Here is a 22621-nt window from a genome sequence, read left to right as displayed (position 1 = left end):
ATTAAATGTTCCCGATGTAACTGCTTGCCCGAGGATAAAGCTTCAGAGAATTCCAGCCCTGGAGTTCTCTCACATCTAGGATGTGATCTAGGCTGAGAGCTGCTGCCTCAGAAGCTCGTCCAAATTGGCGAAGCTTTTTAGCTCCCGGTTTCCTATCCCCACTGGGCTAGTCTTCAGGATGTGAGGAGGCCTTGGAGACTGAGTCATAGTGGCTCTCAAGGCAACATCTCATTAGATTCTTCTTCTTGGAGTAAACAATAGAGTCCAGAAGCCTGATGAGGTCTGCTTCTGGGGGCAAGCAGGTTGTTTCTGGGGGCAACGTGCATGTGTAGGTACTGCTGGCAGTCCGTGGGCCCTACTCATGGCCCCAGGACCAATGTGGCCAGCCCTAGGCACCATGCCATTCTTTCCTCGGCTGCATTCTTCCCTGGTGAGGAGTTGGCAGGCCAGACGGTTATGCCTATCTGGAGCTGGTGGACTCCTAAACTTACTGCTTCTAGGGCTTGCTTGGATCTCTCCCCTGGGTTCATCCTTCAGAGGGTAAACCACAGTTGTGGTATGTGCATCCCTATGCTTCAGAGAGGCTGAAGAATAGTGGTATTCATCAGAGATGGGATGAGGTGGGAGTGGGCCCTCCAGATTATTATGAAGCCATATCTCCAAGTAAGAGGGGAGGATATGTTTTATTTAACAGTTTGGTACTCGATTGTAACATTCATGTATTTATATGTATAGTATGAGGGCCTCCCTTTGTACTCTTACCATGGCTTCACAAATTTTGTGTGTGGACCTGTTGGTGAGTGACAGATCTCTGATCACAATTTAGCATGTATCTTGGGCGCCTGCGCCCAGTTTGTTCAGCTCTTTTCATGAGCCTTCTTCACCCTTACTAAGAACAACTGCTTCTCCTATGTTTCTTGCAGTTTTACTCTGCTGGTCAAGTAAGAAATCTGAGGCTGCATTGGAGAAAGCATGCTCACTCTAGGTTAAGCTATAAAGCAGTTTGTTTTGGGTGCTCAGGCTTCTCTGACCCTTCTCTTTCCAGGCTCTGCTGTGCCCCAGGAGCACTCTCTCTCAAGTCCTTCTCAGGACAAGTGTTATATTTGTGTGAATTTATCTCAACAATTACCACTCTCAGGAATATTTGCATTTGAAGGCTATATAGGACATTGGCCTTCAGGGATGTTGGATTTTTGAGGGGTAAGAGATGAAGGGCTTATGTACTACCAGGTAGGCCAATGCCTGTGCAGCCTCTTCAAGGGTACAGATCTGCAGGTTAGTTCTCCAAAGTCAAGCAGAATTGGTGCATTTTGTTAAGCAGTGTTTAGATTATACAATAGAAACATCTGACCCTAAAGGTCCTGAAAGAACATTTTGTAAGGTACATAGCCCAAAAAGATATATATTTCATGAATAAATACATAATTATCCTGAGGGAAAAAGGATAATTCCACGATGCAACTATAGAGAAAAATCTAGAAAGCATATGAAGCATCTGTTATATGTATTGGTGGTTATTGCTTGAACAAAATTATATGCGTGGCTCAGATACATGTGTACATTGGGAAAGATAAAAACATTTCAGCCTTGCCTGACACAGTGGCTCATGCCTGTAACCCCAGCACTTTGGGAGGCCGAGGGTGGAGAATTGCTTAAGGCCAGGTGTTTGAGACCAACCTGTACAACATAATGAAACCCTATTGCTACAAAATAGTTTTTAAAAAATTAGCTGGGTGTGGTGATATGCATCAGTAGTCCTAGCTACTTGGGATGTGGAGGCAGGAGGACTGCTTAAGCCCAGGAATTTGAGGTTGCAGTGAGTTATGATCTTACCACTGCACTCTAGCCTGAGTGACAGAGCAAGAGCATATATTAAAAAAGAAAGAGAGAAAGAAAGAAGGAAAGAAAGAAGAAAAAGAAAGAGATAAAGAGAGAAAAAGAAAGAAAGAAAGAAAGAAAAAGAAAGAAAGAAAAGTCAGCCTATGAGGACAAGGCCCATTACTTATTCCCTTCTTGGAGGCCAAAGGAGAGCCAGTAATAATAGCTGAATTGTGTTAGATACACCTCTACAGGGAAAGTTGTTCTACAATTTCAATAGATTTCATCTGTTAGTTCACTTAAAAAATATTTGTTCACTCAGTTATTCACAGTCTCTGACATTTTTTCTTACCAAAATTTTGATCGAGCATTTCAAATGGTAGTTCAGACCAATGTGGAAGCATCTAATCTAGTGGAAAACAACATCATATATTTTAAGAAGCTTTGTGAGTATTGCCATGGTCACACGGTAAATCAGAGCAACAAAGCTCTAATAATGAAAGCCAGCATTTACGTAGTTCTTACTATGTGTTAGCATGGATCTAAATATTTCACATGTATTAACTCATTTAGTCTTCATAGCATCTTGATGAAGTTGGTACTATTATTAGCCTCATTAAATTGGTACTGTTGTGCTCTGATGAGGTGCAGGGCATACTTCCTCAAAATATGGCACCTTGGCATTTGAGAAAACAGCAGAAGCAGGAAGGTTTCTCTCACCTTCCCCTCTCCCTTTTCCCTGAAGCAGGTCATACAATGTTCATTACAGAGGTGCCCTCCTTATATCTGAGGTCAAGGAACGTCCTTATCTCTGAAGACACAGGAGACATGAGAAGAATCTGAACAAACAGAACTTGCTGTTTTCCCCAGTTTATTACTGTTAGATCCTACCCGCTTTGTTCAGGCATACTTCTCTAGGACTATCCACTTCTTTATCAGACTAAGCATAAAAATGCACAGATTTCCTTGTTTTTTTTTTTTTGAGTCTTCATTTCTGAAGTCTCCTGTGTCACATAAAACATATTAAATAAATTTGCATGCTTTTCTCTTGTTAATCTGACTTTCATACGAGCCTCAGCCATAAACCTCCAATGGGAAGAAAAGATATTTTTTTCTTTCCTGGACCTCATTTTAGGAAACTGGGGCACAGGGAAGTTATGTAGCCTGTACAAGATTACACATCTTACTAGGAGTGGAACTAGAGTTCATACTCAGGTAATCTGGGTCTGGATGCTTTGCTCTTGACCACTAACTATGCCATACTGTTTCTGATAGGAGGGCCAACCACATAATACTCACCTCTGTGGCCTCTGCACCTCGCTTATGAGCAAAATGCTTCAAGATATCAGTCTGTGAAACACCTTGTATAATAGGTACACATTTCACACTGTGTTCCCAAGGAGCTGTAGGGTTTCAAAGAGATGTATTAAGATTAGTTCTCAGTGGGAGGAGGAAGCTGATTTGGCCAAATCTGGAGTCACCCATCCTAATTCCCCTTTTGTCTGTTTTACATATCGTGGTTTCACATATTATTTATTTGGAAAAAGGGTTCTGTTATTGAGCATTCAAAAGAGTTTGGGGCCCAGAAAACAAAAATTCCATTGAATATACAAGTAACAAAAACTTTGACTTAGGTTCTAATGTAATAATAAGCAACAAAGACTTGGAGAAGCTGATCAAACCTGAACCTGACTCAAAGGTGTAACCCCCATGGGGTACATTGGATAACAGAATCAGGATCTAAAAATGTCTCTAAATTCTAAAGTTATGGACAGCATTAGCAAGTTAAATGACAGTGATAATGTAAATTTATAGATTTAGGACCAAAAACAAACCCAAATGAAAGAAAAGCAGATTCACTGGATAGATACTCTGGGGCTTTGTAAGGGCACATGTAAACAATAGCTAAAAGTTTAATAGCTAAGAGTTTAAATCAACAATATTTGAGACCAGTATGATTTCCTGATAAAGGAAGCAAAATAGTCTGCTCAGTGCTCCCCAGACTATGCACTATTTTCACCTCTGAGAAAACTTTAGAAGTGACACTGACAAGCTGGAGTTCATCCAGAAGATAATTGTAATAGTGAAGAGATGTGATACCCGGTCACAAGAGATTTGATTGAGGAACTAGGAATGCTTACCCTGAGAAGAGAGAACTTTGGCATGAGGGCCAGCTCTGAATATGAGTAGAGATGTCATGTGGCAGAGAGAGGGCCTTATCTGCCTCTAGAATGCAGAATTAACATATGGGAATCATAGAAAGGTAGATTTCACTTACTGTTAGGAACACTTTCCAGGGCTGTTAAAATAGAAATCATTGCCTGGAATTGGGTTAGTGGCTTCCCCAACAAGAAGATACTCATTTTGGGGCTGCATACCCAAAGAGAAAAAAAAAGAAATTAATCCTCATTTCATAGCCTAAGAAATCTCTCAAATTATTTCCAGCTCTAAGATTATATTATGCTATGACATTTTTTTGCTATAAAGAAAAAGGGGTAAAAATTAAGATGTTCTTTTTTCTTCTTAGGTGAAAATTGAAACTTATATCTGTGGCAGAAATAGTAAGACTCACTGCCATGGTCAGGTTGGGCTGCTAGAACAAAATACCAGAGACTGTCTGGCTTAAATAACGGACATTTATTTCTCACAGTTCTGGAAATGGGAAGTCCAAGATCAAGGTACTGGCACATTTAGTTCCTGGTGAGGACTCTTCCCAGCTTGCAGATGGCTGCCTTCTCACTATGCCCTCACATGAGGGAAAAAAACTTCTCTCTCCTTTTATAAGGACACTAATCCCATCATGGCAACAACATGACCCCATCTAACCCAAATTACCTCCCAAAAGCCTTACTCCTGAATACCACCATGTAGGGGATTAGGGCTTCAACATAAACATTTTAGGGGAACACGAGCATTCCATTTATAGCACCAAATATCCCATGTACTTACCTGTATTACCCAGTCTTCTTAACATTAGGCAGGGCTATGTGATTAGCTCTGGACACTGGGTGTGTATAGTGAGTTGAATGGTATCCCCCTAAAATTCACATCCAGCCAGAACCTTAGAATGCAACATTATTTGGCAATGGGGTCTTTGAAGATATAATCAGTTAAGACTCAGATAAACCCTAAGTCCAATGACTGGTGTCCTTATAAGAAGAAGAAAAGATACACAGAGCCAGAGAAGAGAATAATATGAAGATGGAGGTAGAGATTGGAGTGGTGCATGCATAAGCCAAGGGATCACCAAGGATTGCCAAGAGCCACGGGAAGATAGAGAAAGGCAAGAAAAAATTCTTTCCTACAGCCTTCAGAGAAAATATTCTTCTTCCTACAGCAGTGCATGTGCCTGCTGATCCCTTGGTTTCAGATTTCCAATATCTAGCATGGTGAGAGAATAAATTCCTGTTACTTCAAGCCACCAAATTTGTGATAATCTGTTATGGCAGCCACAGAAATGACAAATGTTACCTTCTGGTCTACAGCATTTAATTGCCAGTGTGTGACTCTTTCTCCTTCCCTTCCTTTGCCTCAGCAAATATGGAGGCTTCCTACTGAGATGGCAGAGAAGGAAACAACCTAGATTGTTGAATCCCAGAATGGAGAATAGTGGTCCTGAAGAGTTTGCAACACCTGCAGTGGAATTTGTATGAGTGATACTTAAGTTTTTCTAATGTTAAGTTATGGACATTTTGTTTTTGAAGCACAGTCTATTCTATCTTGACTAATAGTATTACTTGAAAAGGGTGAGAGGAGAAAAAATAGAACGCATTATACATTATTCACTAATCTAGGTCTCAGAGAAGCCTCAGAAATTCCTTATTAATTCACTATCCAATGAAGCTAAGTGCTTTTTTAAACTTGTAGTTCAGCAACCAGTACATGCTGTCATTTATGAAGTGAGTACAATGTGGCATTACATACACCAGGTAAGTCTAGGCCCAGTCTCAGAAAAGATGGTTTAGACTAAATTAACCTAAGGAGAGATAAATAGATAGATAGATAGATAGATAGATAGATGATAGATAGACAGATAGACAGAAACTCATGAGTAAGGAGTATGGGAGGCTAAGGGACATGCCTATCCAGAGCCTGGGATCTCCCACTTGGAGACCTCTCTCCAGGTATACAGAACTCCTTGTCCAAATAGTTCCAGTCCCTTTTCCAGGGCCTTCATGGGCCTCTTCCCCAGGCCTGTGTTCCTGAAAGAAGACCTGCCTCTAGGCCCAAAGGATGGCCACAGGGTTTCTCCTTGCAGGGATACAGACAGAGCCTGGATGGGCAGGTTGGTTTGCCCATGTGCAAGTGTTTATGGCTCATCACTTTCTTCTAAACTATTGTAATCAACGTAATATGAGAAAACATTTCATTTAACAGCCTCTTAGCTTGATTTATAACTTTAAAATATTTAAAATATGGTACGTGGGTCTCCATTTATTTTTCTATAACTGGACCTGAGAATGTGAGGAGTAAAAGTGCTTAGAAATATTTTCTTTTTCCTCATAGAATCTGCTTTTCTTTTTTCTGGATAAACTTCCAGTGGAATTTCCATCATAAAATTCACTGTTGGAGGTGGATATAAAATACCTTCAAACCTGATCACTGGCTGACCTTTATTTTCTCACTGTTTTAAAGCAAGGGGGTCTTATATAGCTTTTCAAATTGGTCTCTAACTTGCACTTAACCTGTCATGTTTTCTTAGGTCCTTCCTGAAGTTTTTCTCTATCCAGGAAGTGTTGAAAATTAGCAGAGAAAGCCAAAGTCCTCTGCACTACCCCCTCTCTTTTCTCCACGCCAACCTTGGAAATACATGCACATACATGTACACAGCCACGTGAAATTCCTGTAAAAACTGGAACTCTTGTTCTCACCACTGAGGTTCTCTGGTGTTTCCTTCCTCCTTTACTGCTCTAGTGCATTTTCCACTCAAAACTGTTGACTCAAAAGAAATAGAAAAAAACACCCTTAGGAAAAATAAAAAGGGAAGAGTTCTTGTCAGAGCATGGAAAATAAAATTCTAAAAATAGCTCATATTCTCATATTTCCCTATAGATATGATGCAAGCATTATCAAGTTCAGGAACTGTTGACTCCAATAACATGATTTCTGGTCCTTGGCTCTTGTCTTCCTTCTTTCCCATCAATGTTTTCTCAAAGCCATGTTCTGGGCAGTGACTCTTGATTGCAACCTTGTAATCAAGCTCCCAGAGACAAATTCTAGAGCTGTCCCCACCCCCCTGCCTTAAACTTGCAATTATATTTTTTATGGCGATATATGCAGATTGAGGGCTTATTTGCTACAAATAGCTCTTTAAATTTTCCTGGTATGGTGAAGGAGATTGAAGATGAAGATGGGACGAATGCATTCAGAATCAAATACAAATTAAGGAGCTGACTTCATAATGTTGATAAGATTGGGCACAACTCAGCAGGTTTTATGAGGCTATGACATTAAGATAATTCATCAGCCCATTAATTCATTCCACTAATCCTTCTATTATATTACTCTTATTCTAACAAAAAGGATCAAAGCAACTAAATTTTATGTATTGTGTTTCTATGACAAGAATTGTGTACACTTCTGGAAAACATAAGATTGTGACACAACTGTCCAGTAACTTAAAACTCGTTGGGGAAGGAAAACACATATTTCAGAAAGTGAAAACAACATAATACTTTATCAGGTGTTGTACTCCAAGTTTTATCTAATTTCCTCAGCCCACATTTTATGTAATAACCAAAGTTGTCATTCCAAAATGAAAATCTCATGTCAACAATCTGCTCAAAACCCATCAGTGGCTCACTGTTATATACTGGAAAATGTTGTAGTACCTTAGCATTGCATACTCAGTGTTCATGACCCTGTCTCCAACTACCTTTCTGAGCTCATCTCCAGTCACCGCCCCCCTCCTTCTGATGTGAAGAATGGGAGCTTCCTGAGAGCCATGACTATGTCTTACTCATCTGTGACTTCCCAGTATCATAATGGAGGCTTAGCGAACCCTGCATTTTTAATGAATAGAGTCTACTCACATATTAATCTCTTTTCAAAACAACTTTATGGTGAAACTTAACACATACAGAAAATGTAATAAAACAAATGAATAGCCTACTGAGATATCATAAAAAGAATACTCATGTGACTAACACCTCATTCAAAAATTAGAACATTGTTGGCTCTTTGGAAGGCCTCTGTCTGCCCTTTACAAATTACATCTCCTTCTCTTACTGCCAAAAGTAAATATTCACCACCCCTGTTAATCAGTTCTCAGGTCAGGACACATTCCCCCACCTCACCTTACCTCCATAATCTTTCCTTTGACTTCATACAGCCCTCGGGAGGCTCCCCTCTCTCATCTTGGAAACACTTGGGTTCTTTAACTTTCATTTGGCATCTGAAAAAAAAATTTTTAAATAAATGTATATTAATGATATCCTTCTTGTCTTACTTACATTATTTTGCTTTCACTGTATATATCTTCAGATAAAGGGGCGGGTGCAGTGGCTCATGCCTGTAATTCCAGCACTTTGGGAGGCCAGGGCGGGTGGATCACGAGGTCAGGAGTTCAAGACCAGCCTGGCCAAGATGGTGAAACCCTGTCTCTACTAAAACTACAAAAATTAGCTGGGTGCAGTAGCAGGAGCCTGTAATTCCAGCTACTTGGGAGGCTGAGGCAGGGGAATCTCTTGAATCTGGGTGGCAGAGGTTGTAGTGAGCTGAGATTGTGTGACTGCACTCCAGCCTTGGTGACAGAGTGAGACTCTTGTCTCAAAAAAATATATATATATTTAGATAATATTTTTTGATGTCTATACTCTGTGTTGCTATAGTCTATTCTTTACTTTTATAGTTAAGATTTCATTAGAGGTGCTCAGTGAATATTTATTGAATTAGTAATTAATGAATGAGTGAATGACAGTTACATCAAAGCACAGAAGAGGCAGAAATTTACTTAACCAGTGAAAGAGAAACAGTAGAATATAGTTTATGCAAATAGATAGACAGACACACACATACATGCACATGCACACAGAGGTGGAGAGAGAGAGAGAAATAGAGAAGCAGGACATTGTTCTGATGTCATGCACCTGAATATTCAAGAGTTTCACACACACAAAAATAACTATTTCCTTCTCTCCCCTCTCTCCTGTTACTCACTTCCTCAAACCAAAGCAGTGTTAGGAAATCCAGATATGCTTCAGACACAATCTTCATTTGTTTCAACACCACTGTTTATGATTGTAGAAGGCTTTTGGGACCAAGCAGTAAATGTCCTCCTTCAGCATTTTACTTGAAAGGAACCACTGCAAGAACATGGGCCAGACTACAGGATGACCTCCTTACATGGATATTCTAGGAAAGATTCCACATTATCAGGGAAACCGGAAGAGATGACAATGGAAAATCCTTTTCTACTCTATGATGGCATGAGTAAATGAAAGACACTGGCAGTCTAAAAATAATAATTAAGTCTGTAGTTTTACCTAGATATTAAGTTGGCAATGAAAGCTTAGGCCTAGGACATGAGGTTGTAACTCAAACTCTCCTAGGTTCCAGCTAGTACATACAGCTAAAGTGTTGAGTCAATCTATACTTATCCTTTCAACTCTTGGATTGAATAATTCTTAAACATATAAACGTGAATTCTGTTTCCTTGCTTTTCATATACTGTTCAATGATTCCCCACACCACCCATACTTTTCTTGTAGAACATGGCTCATTTTTGGAGATTCAAATAAAATGTATCCTCTCTATGAAGCTGACTTGATCCTTCATAAAAGTTAGGACTTTGTCTGTTCTACTTCCACAATAATTTTTTCTCAAAGTACTAAACACATTGTATTTCCATTAGGTGTATTTATCTGCTTTATAGAATTATAATCTCCTCAACTTAAAGGATTGAGTTTTATTTTATGTCAGACCTATAGTAGGTACTCAATATGTTTCTGAATGAATAAAAAATACAGACAAAGTAGTAAAATATGAGACAGAACAAAAGTTTTAAACACCAAGTACCAAAATAAGTATCTTCTGTTTGCCAGATATTAATTAGGTGCTGAGAAAAAGCAAATGAAACACGGAATAGGCATCTAGGAGCTCACAGTCCAGTGAGGGAAACAGAAGTGTGTGAACACATGCAATATGGCTAGAGGGAGGAAGCCAGACATGGGTAAGGGGCCTTGAGAGCCCATAGGACTGGCCTCTGTCTCAGAGGAATAAAAGACAAGTTCAAGTTGATTCATTAAGGACAGGTAGAAGTCACTCAGGTGGAGAAAGGAAATAGGTGGGGGGTAATCAAGGTGGTGGAAACAGAAGCGTTGAAGTCCTCATGGAAGGCCTATCTTAATAAAACTTGATCATAAAGCTTTGCGTGGAAATTCCCAGTGGTGAGAACAAACAGAAATTTGCTTCTACCAGGTGGAGTTGTGGCCCCGGTGTGTCTGCTGGGTGTACAAGAGAGGAAAAGGGGAATGACGGAAGTGCACAAGAGAATAGCTGGAGAGAGCATAAACCCATGCTCAACTAGAAGGGAGAGTAGTTTATTTCCATCTGACTAGGAAAAAGAGAAGAGAATGCCTCTCAGTCACAAATTGACTCACATTGCACTTAGATCTACAAAGAAAATTAGCTGCTTTCTTTATTTTCTGTGGTATGTCTAATCTTTCTTAAAATTCCTCCACACCTCCTTGGATGGGAAGGGCAGAGACTGTTAGCTTCCTACTTCCTGCATCACAAGTTTTCAGTTTGAATAGTATATTTTGAATGACTCCGTCTCTTTTGGGTAAATTCTCGGAATTTCGGATTTCCTCTCCCCATTTCTCCTCTTGACTACGACCCTTGCTCTTTTTCAAGTCTAATCTCATGTCAACAGAGAAGACAAATGAATGGAAATCATGTAGCATTCTCTGGAATCTCATTAGTCTCCTCTGGGCTCTTCTACAGGGCAGCCAGTCAAATATGTTCCCTGGACTATTGACGATCAAGGTGCAGCTGGTTTCATTTGGCCTTTTAGAGGACATGCAAGTGGCCATGACTGTAATCTAAAGTCAGGGCATTTGCCTGATGGTTTACATATGACAACCACTTTATTCAGACTCTAGGTCTTAGCAAGTCTCCTGCTCCTATCAATACCTCAGTATCTACTCACATGGTTGAGTACCATACACAACTTAGGGAAATAAGTAAAGATGCTTTAGGATCATCTTTCTGAGCACCCTCCCTCAGGATCTACAGACTTGGCATCTGGGTGTTTTCACTTGGTCCCTTCCCGTTGGGGTTCATCTTGAGTCGGGGAAATAAAGACATAAAAAATCTCTCCATAGCATTTAGTCAACTCTCTTTTATTTCCTATAATATATTAGGATAGAAGGGGCAACTGTTCTATTTCTTCTTTCTCAGCATAGACTTCCATTACATCATATCCTCCTTCTTCCTCCTTAGTAGGGAAGGAGTATTATTTTCATATCATGGGACAAAAAATAATTTGAGAAGAAACTCTAAAATATTAATTGGTCAGGCTGCTCTTGATAAAGGTCAGAGATAATAACCTAGTTTAATGACCCCACATATCACTCAATCACAAGAGTACTACCATGGCAAAAAGCAAAATTCAAAAGACAGAAGTGTTCTGATATGGAAGAACAAGGCCTTCAATGGACCTATAATCTTACAAAAACATAGAAAATACATGCAAAACAACTAAAATCCTCTATTTCAGAACTCTAGAAAATAACCAAACTACAGAAAAAACTGAAAATTGTCAATTCAAGAGAAACTACCTGTAATTAACAGGTAATTTAGTTAGAAGTCTATGTCAGCCAGGCGCAGTGGCTCATGCCTGTAATCTCAGCACTTTGGGAGGCTGAGGCAGGTGGATCACCTGAGGTCAGGAGTTTGAGACCAGCCTGGCCAACATGATGAAATCCCTTCTCTACTTAAAATACAAAAATTAGCTGAGCGTGGTGGTGGGCACCTGTAATCCCAGCTACTTGGAAGGCTGAGGCAGGAGAATGGCTTGAACCCGGGAGGCAGAGGTTGCAGTGAGCTGAGATCGTGCCATTGCACTCCAGCCTGGGTGACAAGAGTGAAACTCTGTTCCAAAAAACAAACAAAAAAAGAGTCTGTCATTTTAACTTGGGGTGATCCCTCTCTCATAACCCACCTCTGCAGCCCAGTGGTGTGGTAGTTGTAAAAAGACAGCAGTCTCACAGTAGAGATGACTGACTACTTCTGGAACTCAATTAAAAGTCCCATTAATAGAATAAAATAAATATTTTATCTGAATTAGCAGCTACTGGGAAAATTTCTATTCCCAGGGCACTGGTGTTATTTGATTTGACTCAGAGCTTAGCTCAATAACAACAACAAAAAGGCTCTATTCCCAAGGTGTTGCCTAAAACAATAGTAATTCTCTGGTAACACCACCACTGCTGTGCTAAATCTGTGATTTCAGTAGAGAAAAACAACAGCATGGCCAAAAATTTGAAGGAACATCCTGGAGATCTACACAAACATAGGGAGCTTCAAAGAACTCTGACATATTTCTGAAGAACTAGAAAACAGTGTGTGTGTATGTGTGTGTGTGTGTATGTCTGTGTGTCTGTGTCTTTGTGTCTGTGTGCATGGTTGCACCTGAGAAAGGAGAAGGCTCCAGTCACTCCCTTTCATGCCCAGCTGACATTGAGGTCCTCCACAAGCAGGAGGTAAAATCTAAGGCTGTTTTGCAAATTGCCTGAAGTTTGAAGGAATGCCTTCATATACAGAGCCCTTTGGCAAAGGGTGGAAAACATATAAGCAAAGCATTTAAAGAAACCTTCGGCAGATCATTGGCTGGCTAATAAAGTATACTGTCCCAAGGATAATCCCTAGGGCATATAGGCTTAAAATTAAAACAAATGAAACCAACCCTATAGTCTCATAGACTGTTCTTTTTGATAAACATAGAAATTGACCCTTCTGGTCTTAAAGCTTGAAATTTAAATTTGTTTTATCTGAGTTCCTTTCTCAGGAAAATGCCTTCAGGCCTTTAAAAAAGTATGAAAGAACTGAAACTCACCAGGTCACTGCACCAGATGCAGGACCCCTCATTCATCATGATTGCTTCCTTTCCCCTCCCTAGTTTCTGTTTTTTTACACATTGTTACATTTCTTCCCTGCTATATAAACCCTTTTTTTTAGTCAGTTAGGGAGACAGATTTGAGACTGAGCTCACATCTCAGCTGCAGCACCTGATTAAATCCTTCTTCCTTGGTGATATTTGTTGTTGTGGTGGTTGGCTTTCTGTGTGGTGAGATGCAGGACATAGACCAAACCCCCAGTGTTTTGGTCACACAATAACTTAAAACAAAACCTAGAAGATAACTCAGTAACCACAGATACTGTCGAATTAGTTCAGAATTAGTTTCCTCTTTGCTGCTTGCCTAACAAGCAGTGAAAACAACAATAACAAAAAAAGAAAAAAGAAAAGAAAGAAAATAGCAACAACAACAAACTTTGGGGGTGGTGATGGATGATCTGATAGTATGGTTGTTACACTATATTAACTAAAATATCCAGATTCAGCAAAAATTATAAGACATAAAGAGAATAATGAAAATATGACACATACATAAGAAAAAGGTAGCTAAGAGTTAAATGTCCTTAAGGGGTAACTGATACTGGTCCCCAAGGGGTAACTGATAATTTAAAGACAAAGACTTTAAATTATCGATTATAAATATGTTCAAATAACTAGAAAGTTAAAAGAAATTATGATAATAATGTCTCATCAATTAGAGAATATCAATAAGGAGATAGAAATCACTTTTAAAAGCCCAGTAGACATTTTGGAGTTGAAAAGTGTAATAATTGAAATTTAAAAATTCACTAGAGGAGCTTAAAAGCAGATCTGAGCTTGCAGAAGAACTGGTGAACTTGAAGACAGATTAGTCGAAATTATCCTGTTCTAGCAACAGAAAGAAAAAAGAATGAAGAAAAACTAATAACATCTCAGGGACCTGTGGATACAATTAAGTATATGAACATAGACAAAATGAGAGTTCCAGAAGAGAAAAGAGAAAACAGTAGAAAGGATACTTGAAGAAATAATGGCCAAAACTTCCCATATTTGATGAAAGCATCAATTTACATATCCAAGAATCTCAGTGAACTGTAAGTAAGATAAACTGAAAGAGATCCACACCAAGATACATCATAATCAAACTCTAAAAGGACAAAGACCAAGAGAGAATCTTGAAAGCAGCAAGAGAAGTCACTCATCACATACAAAGGCTTCTTATCAGAAATGAAGGAAGTCATAAGGCAGTGGGTAACATATTCAAAATGCTGAAGGAAAAAAAACTAACAAACAAGAATTCTATATCCAGAAAAACTATTCTTCACAAATGAGGGGAAATGACATTCCCAGATTTAAAAAATAACAACAATCAACACAAAACCCTGAGATAACTGTTAATAGCAGAGCTGTCCAAAGACATACTAAAGGAGGTGCTATAGGCTAAAATGCAAGGACATTAGATGATAACTAAAGTTTTACATGAAGAAACAAAGGGCACTGGAAAAGGTAAGTACATAGATTAAATATAAAACATTTTTGTTTCTAATTCCTTTCTTCTGACTTAAAAGGCAACTCCATAAGCAGTACACATAAAATTGAGTTGATATATTTGTAAAGTATAAATATATAATTTGCATGCAAATAATAGCACAAAGAAGAGGTGGAGGGAACAGGTATTTTGGAGCAAAGATTTTGTATACTGTCAAAATAAAGTTAGTATTAATTTGAACTAGATTTTTTAAGTGAAAATGGTAATTTTAGTCCCCAGGGCAACCACTATTAAAGTAACTTTAAACACATAGTAACAGAAACAATAAAAGAATCAAAAGGTACAATAGAAAATATGTATTTAACACAAAAGAAGGTAGTAACAGAGAAACAGAGGAACAAAAAGACATAACATACGAAAAATAAACAGCAAAATAGCAGACATAAATACTACTTACCAGTAGTGACAGTAAATGTAAACACTCCAATCAAAAGTATAAGTTGGCAAAATATATAAGAAAACATCTAATTATAGGCTGTCTAAAAAACATGCTTTGGATTCAAAGATATGATTAGGTTGAAAGTAAAAAGATAGAAATGATATACCAAAAAACAGTAACCAAAAGATAGCTGGGATGGCTATACTAGTATCAGACAAATAAGATTTTTAAAATAAAAACTATTACTAAATAAAATGAAGGACATTTAAAAAAATAAATGAAATGGTTAATCCACCAGAAATACATATTAATTATAAATATGTATGTACCTGAAAACAGAGTCCCAAAATGAAATAAGCAAAAATTCGTAGAGTTGAAGGGAAAAATAGAAAATTAAACAATAATAGTTGCGGACTTTTCAATCCCAAAAGGTCAAGAAAGAATTGGAAGACTTAAACTGCAATCAACTAGGCCTAGCTGACATCTATAAAATATTTCACCTCAACAAAGTAAAGGGTTAAATATACATTTTTCTCAAAACCACATAAAACTTTGCCATGATAGAGCGCATATTAGACAGGCCATAAAACAAGCTTTAGTAAATTTCAGTGTATTGAAATCATACAAATTACTTTCTCTGATCTAAAATTACATTAGAGATCAATAATTAGAAGAAAATTTAGGAAATCCACAGATATACAGAAATTAAATATACTCAAATAATCAATGTGTTGAAGAAATCCTAAGGGAAATTAGAAAATGCATTAAGATGAATGAAAATGAAAACGCAACACACTGAACTTACAGAAAATGGTTGTAGCAGTTTTTACAGGGAGATATATAGCTGTAAATGCCTATATTTAAAAAGAAGAAAAATCTTAAGTCAATAATCAGGTTTTCCACTTTAAGAAACTAGGAAAAGAAGAAAAAAACTAAACTTCAAAGAGGCAGAATTAAGGAATAATAAATATCAGAGGAGAAAGAGACAAGATAAAGAATAGAAAAACAGCACAGACAATCAAAGAAGCCAAAAGTTGGTTATTTGAAAAAAAATAAACAAAATTAGCAAACTTTTAGCTACACTGACCAAGAAAAAAAGAAAGACGATTTAAGTGACTGAACTACTCTGAGGAATAAAGAGGTGAGAAAACTCACTAGTGAAACTTATAGAAGGATTGAAAGGGGAAACTATAAAAAACTGTATAACAACACGTTTTATAACTTAGGTAAAATGGACAAACTCCTAGAAGGACACAAACTGCCAAAATAGACTCAAGCAGAAATAGAAAATCTGAATATGCCTATAACAAATAAATAGGTTGAATTAGTAATTTTAAAACTTTTAATAAAAGACCAAGTTCAGGTTTCACTGGTGAATTCTACCAAACATAAAAAAAATTACTACCAATCCTTCACAAACTATTCTAAAAAATAACACTATCAAAAAAGTGAAGGCAAGGAAACGCTTCTCAATTTATTCTATAAAGCTAGTACTACCATTACATAATCAGACAAAGGCATCTTAAAACTATAGGCCAATATGCCTTATGAATGTAAATGTAAAAATCTTCACAAATTACTAGCAAAAATGAATCTAGTGACATGTAAGAAGGATTATACAACATGACCAACAGGGATTTATCCCAGAAATGCAGTCATTTCAACATATGAAAGTCAACACATGTAATACACATTAATAAAGAACAAAAACCCAGGTGATTATTTCAACTGAGACAGAAAAACATTTGAGAAAATCCAGCACTCTTTTAATATAAAAGCACTCAACATATTAGGAGTGGAAGGAAAGTTCCTCAACTTGATAAAAGGCATCTACTAAAATCCCACAGTTAAATTCATACTTAATGTTAAAGACATTCCCCCTAAGATCAGATAAAAGGCTTTCTCACCAATTCTATGCAACATTATGTTAGAGACCTAACCAGGGCATTTAAGCCAAAAAAGTAAATTAAAAGCAATCAGATTTGAAAAGAAGTACAACTATCTCTACTGAAAGATGCCATGATCTTGTACATAGAAAATCCTAAACAATACATTAGAACTAGAAATCCTATTAGAATAGCCTATTAGAAGCCTAACAGAATAAATGAGTTCAGCAAGGTTGCAGAATATAATATCAATATATGAAAATCATATGCATTTCTTTATATTAGTAATCAGCAATCTAAAAATGAAATTAAGAAAACAATTTTATTTATACTAGCATCTAAAAGAATAAAATACTTAGGAATACATTTAACAAAAGAAGTACAAGCCTTATACTTTAAAAACTATAAAATATTATTTAAAAAATTAAAGATTTAGATAAATGGAAAGACATCCTATATTCACGCATTGGAATAGTTGATATCGTTAGGACAGCAATACTCCCATATTGATCTATAGATTCATTGCAATCCCTATTGATATGGAAGTGGGGCAGGGAAGTGGTGGGTAGAGAAGGGCGGGTCCCTGGTGAGGGCTCCGCACTCGGGCCTGTGCCCATGGACCTAGGTGAGGACAGGCACTCCTGTTTTTATGCCCAAGTGTTGCATTTTCCAAGACCACCCTGGCCCGCCATACCCCCCATCCTGTGCCTATAAAAACTCTGAGACACAGGCAAGCACAGGCACAAGCAGCTGGACATCAAGAGGAATGCACCAGCAGAAGTGCACACATGGAGCTGGACCTTGAGAGGAACACACTGGCGGAAGAGCACACCAACAGGCACTGGCAGACATTGGCAGGCCATTGACCAGTGGAATGATGTGGAGTTTGGCGGGGTGGTTGGAGGACAGCCTGGCTGCTGGGTGGCCCAAGTCTAGGGGAAAATCACCACCTTCCCATGCCATCCCCCTTCTGACTTCCCCATCCAGCTTGCTGAGAGCTATCACCACTCAATAAAAAACCTTGCACTCATTCTCCAAACCCACATGTAACCCAATTCTTCCAGTACACCAAGGCAAGAACCCCGATACAGAAAGCCCTCTGTCCTTGTGATAGGGTATATGGTCTAATTGAGCTGATAACACAAGCCACCTATAGATGGCAAAACTAAAAGAGCACACTGTAACACATGCCCTCTGGAGCTTCAGCTTTAAATATTCACCCCTAGACACTGCTGTTGGGTTGGAGCCCCACAACCCACCTGTCTGCATCCTCCCCTTAGGGGTTTGAGCAGTGAGGAACCAAAGAAGTGAGCCACTCCCCCTGTTGCACACCCTGTGAGGCGGATAAGGGAACTTTTCCCATTTCAACTGGGGGCTTGTCCAGGATCCCAGAAGGTGACTGAAAATGTCAAACTGTCAGATATGCCTCTTCCAAAACCCTGCCACCTCTCTCTCTCAAGTGTCCATCAACTGATGAATAAATAAACAAACATGGTGTTAAATATAATTTTGTAGGAGGCCGTGGACTTGAACTGAACTCCCACACTAAGCCTAAGAGAACAAACCAATATGAGTTTAAGTACAGTAGCTGAGCTTTAGTTAATTGCAGAAGACTCCATAACCAATTAAAGTGTGTATGTACCACATTTCTGTTTCCTATACATGCTGTCAGATCATATTACTGGTTGGAGTTCTCTGAGTCTGCTCTACCAGAGGACTGCCATATTCTCGAATTGTTTCTGTTTTGTTTTGCTTTGTTCTGTTTTGGTTATAATTGCTCAAATAAATGCTGTTGAATTTAATTAGTTTAAGATTTTTCCTTTTGACAGAGGTATGTTCATAAAATGTAATATAATTCATCCATAAAAAAGTTTGATAAGTGTTGTAATTCAAGGATGAACCTGAATACATGCTAAGTGAAAGAAACCAACCATAAAAGGCCATATAGTATATGATGCCATTTATCTAAAATGTCCAGAATAGGCAAATCCACAGTGACAGAAAGTACATTAGTGATTTCCAGGGGCTGCAGGGAAGGGGAGTGATTGCCAATGGGTATGGAGTTTCTGCTTGGTGGGATGAAAATGTTCCAAATTGAAATTTTGGTGATGGTTATACCATTCTGAAAACTACTGAACTATATACTTTAAATGAGTGAATTTTATGGTATTTGAATTATATATCAATAAAGTTGTTAAAAAGAGGAGGGAGGAATACCATAGAAAATGTGAAAGGTTAGTGGGTAGAATGCATAGCATATTAGGTTCCCTAAACAGTGCTTATCACTGGCTCTGCTAACTAGCTGCTTTTGGAGAATCGATAATGTGCTAGCATGTAGTGTGTCCCCTGGCTAATATCTATTTATTCAGATCTCTACATTTCTAAGCACTAATTTTAAACTATTAAGCTAAATCATATGGGTTATAAGTGATATTTCACACATGTCAAAGAGTTTTACACATGTCATTTTATTTGGACAGAAAGACAAACACTGCTAATGTCTCATGTAATTTTTAATTTTCTTTTCCTCACAGTATTTTATAAGAATTAAACAAGAAGCTCAAACTATTTAGGAAGTCTTTAAACAGCATTTCCCCCTCAATGTGTGCCAAGGAACATCAGTTTTGCTAAATGTTTTGGGTGGGAAAAAAAACACAAAAAAGGAGTTCCATAGTCAAAACTGTTTAGGAAGCTCTGTACAGGATTTTTTTTTCCCTTGGAAATTCTTAAGGAACATGAGACTATTAAAGGCTCTTAAAAGTTTCATTCACTCAACAAATATTTATTCAGTGCCTCCTAAGTGTAAGGCACTATTCTGGGCCTTGGAGACACAGTAGAAAACAAGATAGACAAAATTCTTGACGTGATGGAACTTAAGTTTGAATGTTGCACAAAGAAATCTGTTTTAACTATTTCACAACTTATATGATGACAAAACAACAATTTCAAGAAATAGTCATTACCATTCTGCATAATATGCTTTGTGAAATATGGGTCTACATTTATCTATATCAGTCCCTTAATGGGAATGCTAAAAGACGGAGAAAGCAGCATAAGCAAGTATCCCGAATCATATACAAACTGTATTTCTAGTCATTGGTGTTGCTCAAAAGACAATGGGAATTTAGCCCTTATCATTAAAAACAGGATATGATGGCCTGATTAAAAGTGAAGATGGGAAAGAAAGCACAGGAGAGAAGCAGTCAAAACATATTTTAGGTGACACGTTTTTGGATCTTTATAATTATGAATTCATTGACAAAAGCCAAATACAATTAGTTAGGGTACTATAAAGAAACAGGGACCAAAGTACTAAATTTAGTTACCATATGAGATATCTGGATGGAAGGAATTGTAAATTCCCACTTTTAACTAATGGGGAATTATAAAGTAATTACAAATCCCCTCTTTAAAATGTATTAGCAAACTACTAGGAGGTCAGGCACAACAATAGGTTGGGCAAGATAAAATTAATGTCAGAGAAAATTTTAAAATAAACAAATTATCCTTAAAGGTCATGATTTTCTCATCAATCTCTAATTTAAAACCCCTCTTTACTCCCACACTCTTTTCTCTAATAAGGCCCTGTTCCTTTCTCCCAATCAACTGGCCCATGACTTCCTTCTTCTCACCCCTGTCTCTCTGTCATGGCTGAAGAACAGTCTTCTCTTGTTCCAACAGCCTCCTCCTAGTCAGCTTGCCTCTAAGGCTGCCATTCTCTTGCATTTTCTTTCCCACCCTCACTTTTAATCAGGCCCTCACTTCCTGCTTCTTAGAGATAAAGACTGGATTCTCTTGGCCTTTTTATTTATTTATTTTGTGGTAAAATATACATAACCTGAAACTTGTCATTTAATCAATTTTAAATGTACAATTCAGTGGCATTAAGCAATTCAAAATATTGTGCAACTGTTACATCCCCATTATCCATTTCCAGAACTTGTTCATCTAAATGTTGGCATGTATAAAAAAAAGGGGTGCTAATTACACTGGCTTTACCCTGTAAGATTTCAAGAACTAAACATAATAATGTACCTGACTATACTCTGTTAGCTCTTAAAATACCATCCAAATGTTTATCGTTATAGTAAATAAAGTTGTAAAGTACTATCATCTAAGTAAAATACTATTCATTCATTTATTTATTCCACAAAATAGATCAAACTTCTGTTATATTCCATAGGGCAGAGGAGGGAAATTTCTCAAAAGGGAATGAGACAAGGCTCTTTTTCTGGAAGCACTCACAGTTTAGTCAGAAAGCTTTGTGCATAAACAACTCCAATTCAGGACTACAAATGGCATTGTAATGGTGTGAACAGTTGGTATGGCAATGACTGGTTGTGACAGAAGGTGTGGGGAGGCTTCATGGGGTCTGTAGTTAAGCTGGGTCTGGAAAGACGTTGGTGAGCTCATGATGGAAAAAGGATGGTGCCCTCAGGGTGCTATAGAGAACATAGCCATCTTGAAAGTGAAAAGATAACTGCTCCTTGGCCTAATTCAGAGTTCTGGAGACTCCAAGAAAATAAACACAGGAGGGGCCGGGCGTGGTGGCTCACGACTGTAATCCTAGCATTTTAGGAGGCTGAGGCGGGTGGGTCACCTGAAGTCAGGAGTTCGAGACCAGCCTGACCAACATGGAGAAACCCCATCTCTACTAAAAATACAAAATTAACCTGGCGTGGTGGTGCATGCCTGTAATTCCAGCTACTCAGGAGGCTGAGGCAGGAGAATCACTGGAACCCGGGAGGCGGAGTTTGTGGTGAGCCAAGATTGCACCATTGCTCTCCAACCTGGGCAACAAGAGTGAAACTCTGTCTCACAAAAAAAAAAAAAAAAAAAAAAAAAAAAAATCTTAATAAAAATAAAATAAACACAAGAAAAGCCCAGGGAGAGCAAGCTTTTGTCATACTCACTCTCACACCCAGGGACTTCTTTGGTAATCCTTCAGATTCCTTATTTTAGCTTCTGTGAATTTAAGTTTCTCTCAAAGCATGAATCACTCAATAAGATAAAGTTACCTGTGTAGTGTTGAGGGATTTCCTTTCCACTTATAAAAAATGATAAGAATAATAATGATAATTACAAAGCAATCAAAAGGTCACTGGATAGAAGAAGAACCATTTTCACAAGGTCAGGCCACAACCCCATTTGAGTTGATTTATAACTTGCTTCTGGACACTATCAGCCAACAGCATTGCACCGATCAGTGGCATTACCAAAAAGAAAAATAGCCTTGACTGACAAACTATGTATATCATTAACTATTTCCCCTGGGATTGGAATGCAGCAAGCCCAGCAGCCAGATCAGAGTTCCTTGGAGAAAGAGGTCTCAAGAGCCTGTTCCATTGTAGAGCACTCCAAGAGAGACGAAACCAGGAAGCTTCACTTGGCAACTTTCTTCAAGCAGAGAATCCCCATTAGACTGTAGATTTTTAAGAAGATGGGGCCCCTGATATTCTCTGTTGTATCCTCAGCACCTAGCACATGCAAGAGTGACAATAAATATGTGTTGTGGTGCATTCGATGGTCCAAAGATTGCTCCTTTACTAAGAAAGCACCAAGTTGCAAGTAAAATTCTCAACCTGAACAAAGTTATTTCTTTACTAATAAAGAAATTTCAGGGTCAGGCATGGTGGCTCATGGCTGTAATCCCAGTACTTTTGGAGTCTGATGTGGGAGGATCACTTGAGCCCAGGAGATTGAGACCATCCTGGGCAATGGAGGGAGATCTTATCTGTACAAAAAAAAAAAAAAAAAAAAAAAATTGCTGGGCTTGGTGGTGTGCACTTGTAGTCCCAGCTACTTTGGAAACTAAAGAGAGGAAAGAAAGAATAGAGAGAGGAAAGAAAGGAATGAAAGAAAGAGAAATTTCAGCTCTTGCCTCTTCCTCCTGCCCTTCAGAGTATTTGTGCCTTCGAAAGAAAAAATGGGAA

Source organism: Homo sapiens, chromosome 1, assembly GCF_000001405.40.
Source record: "Homo sapiens chromosome 1, GRCh38.p14 Primary Assembly".
NCBI lineage: Eukaryota > Metazoa > Chordata > Mammalia > Primates > Hominidae > Homo > Homo sapiens.
This window is presented reverse-complemented; position numbering follows the sequence as displayed.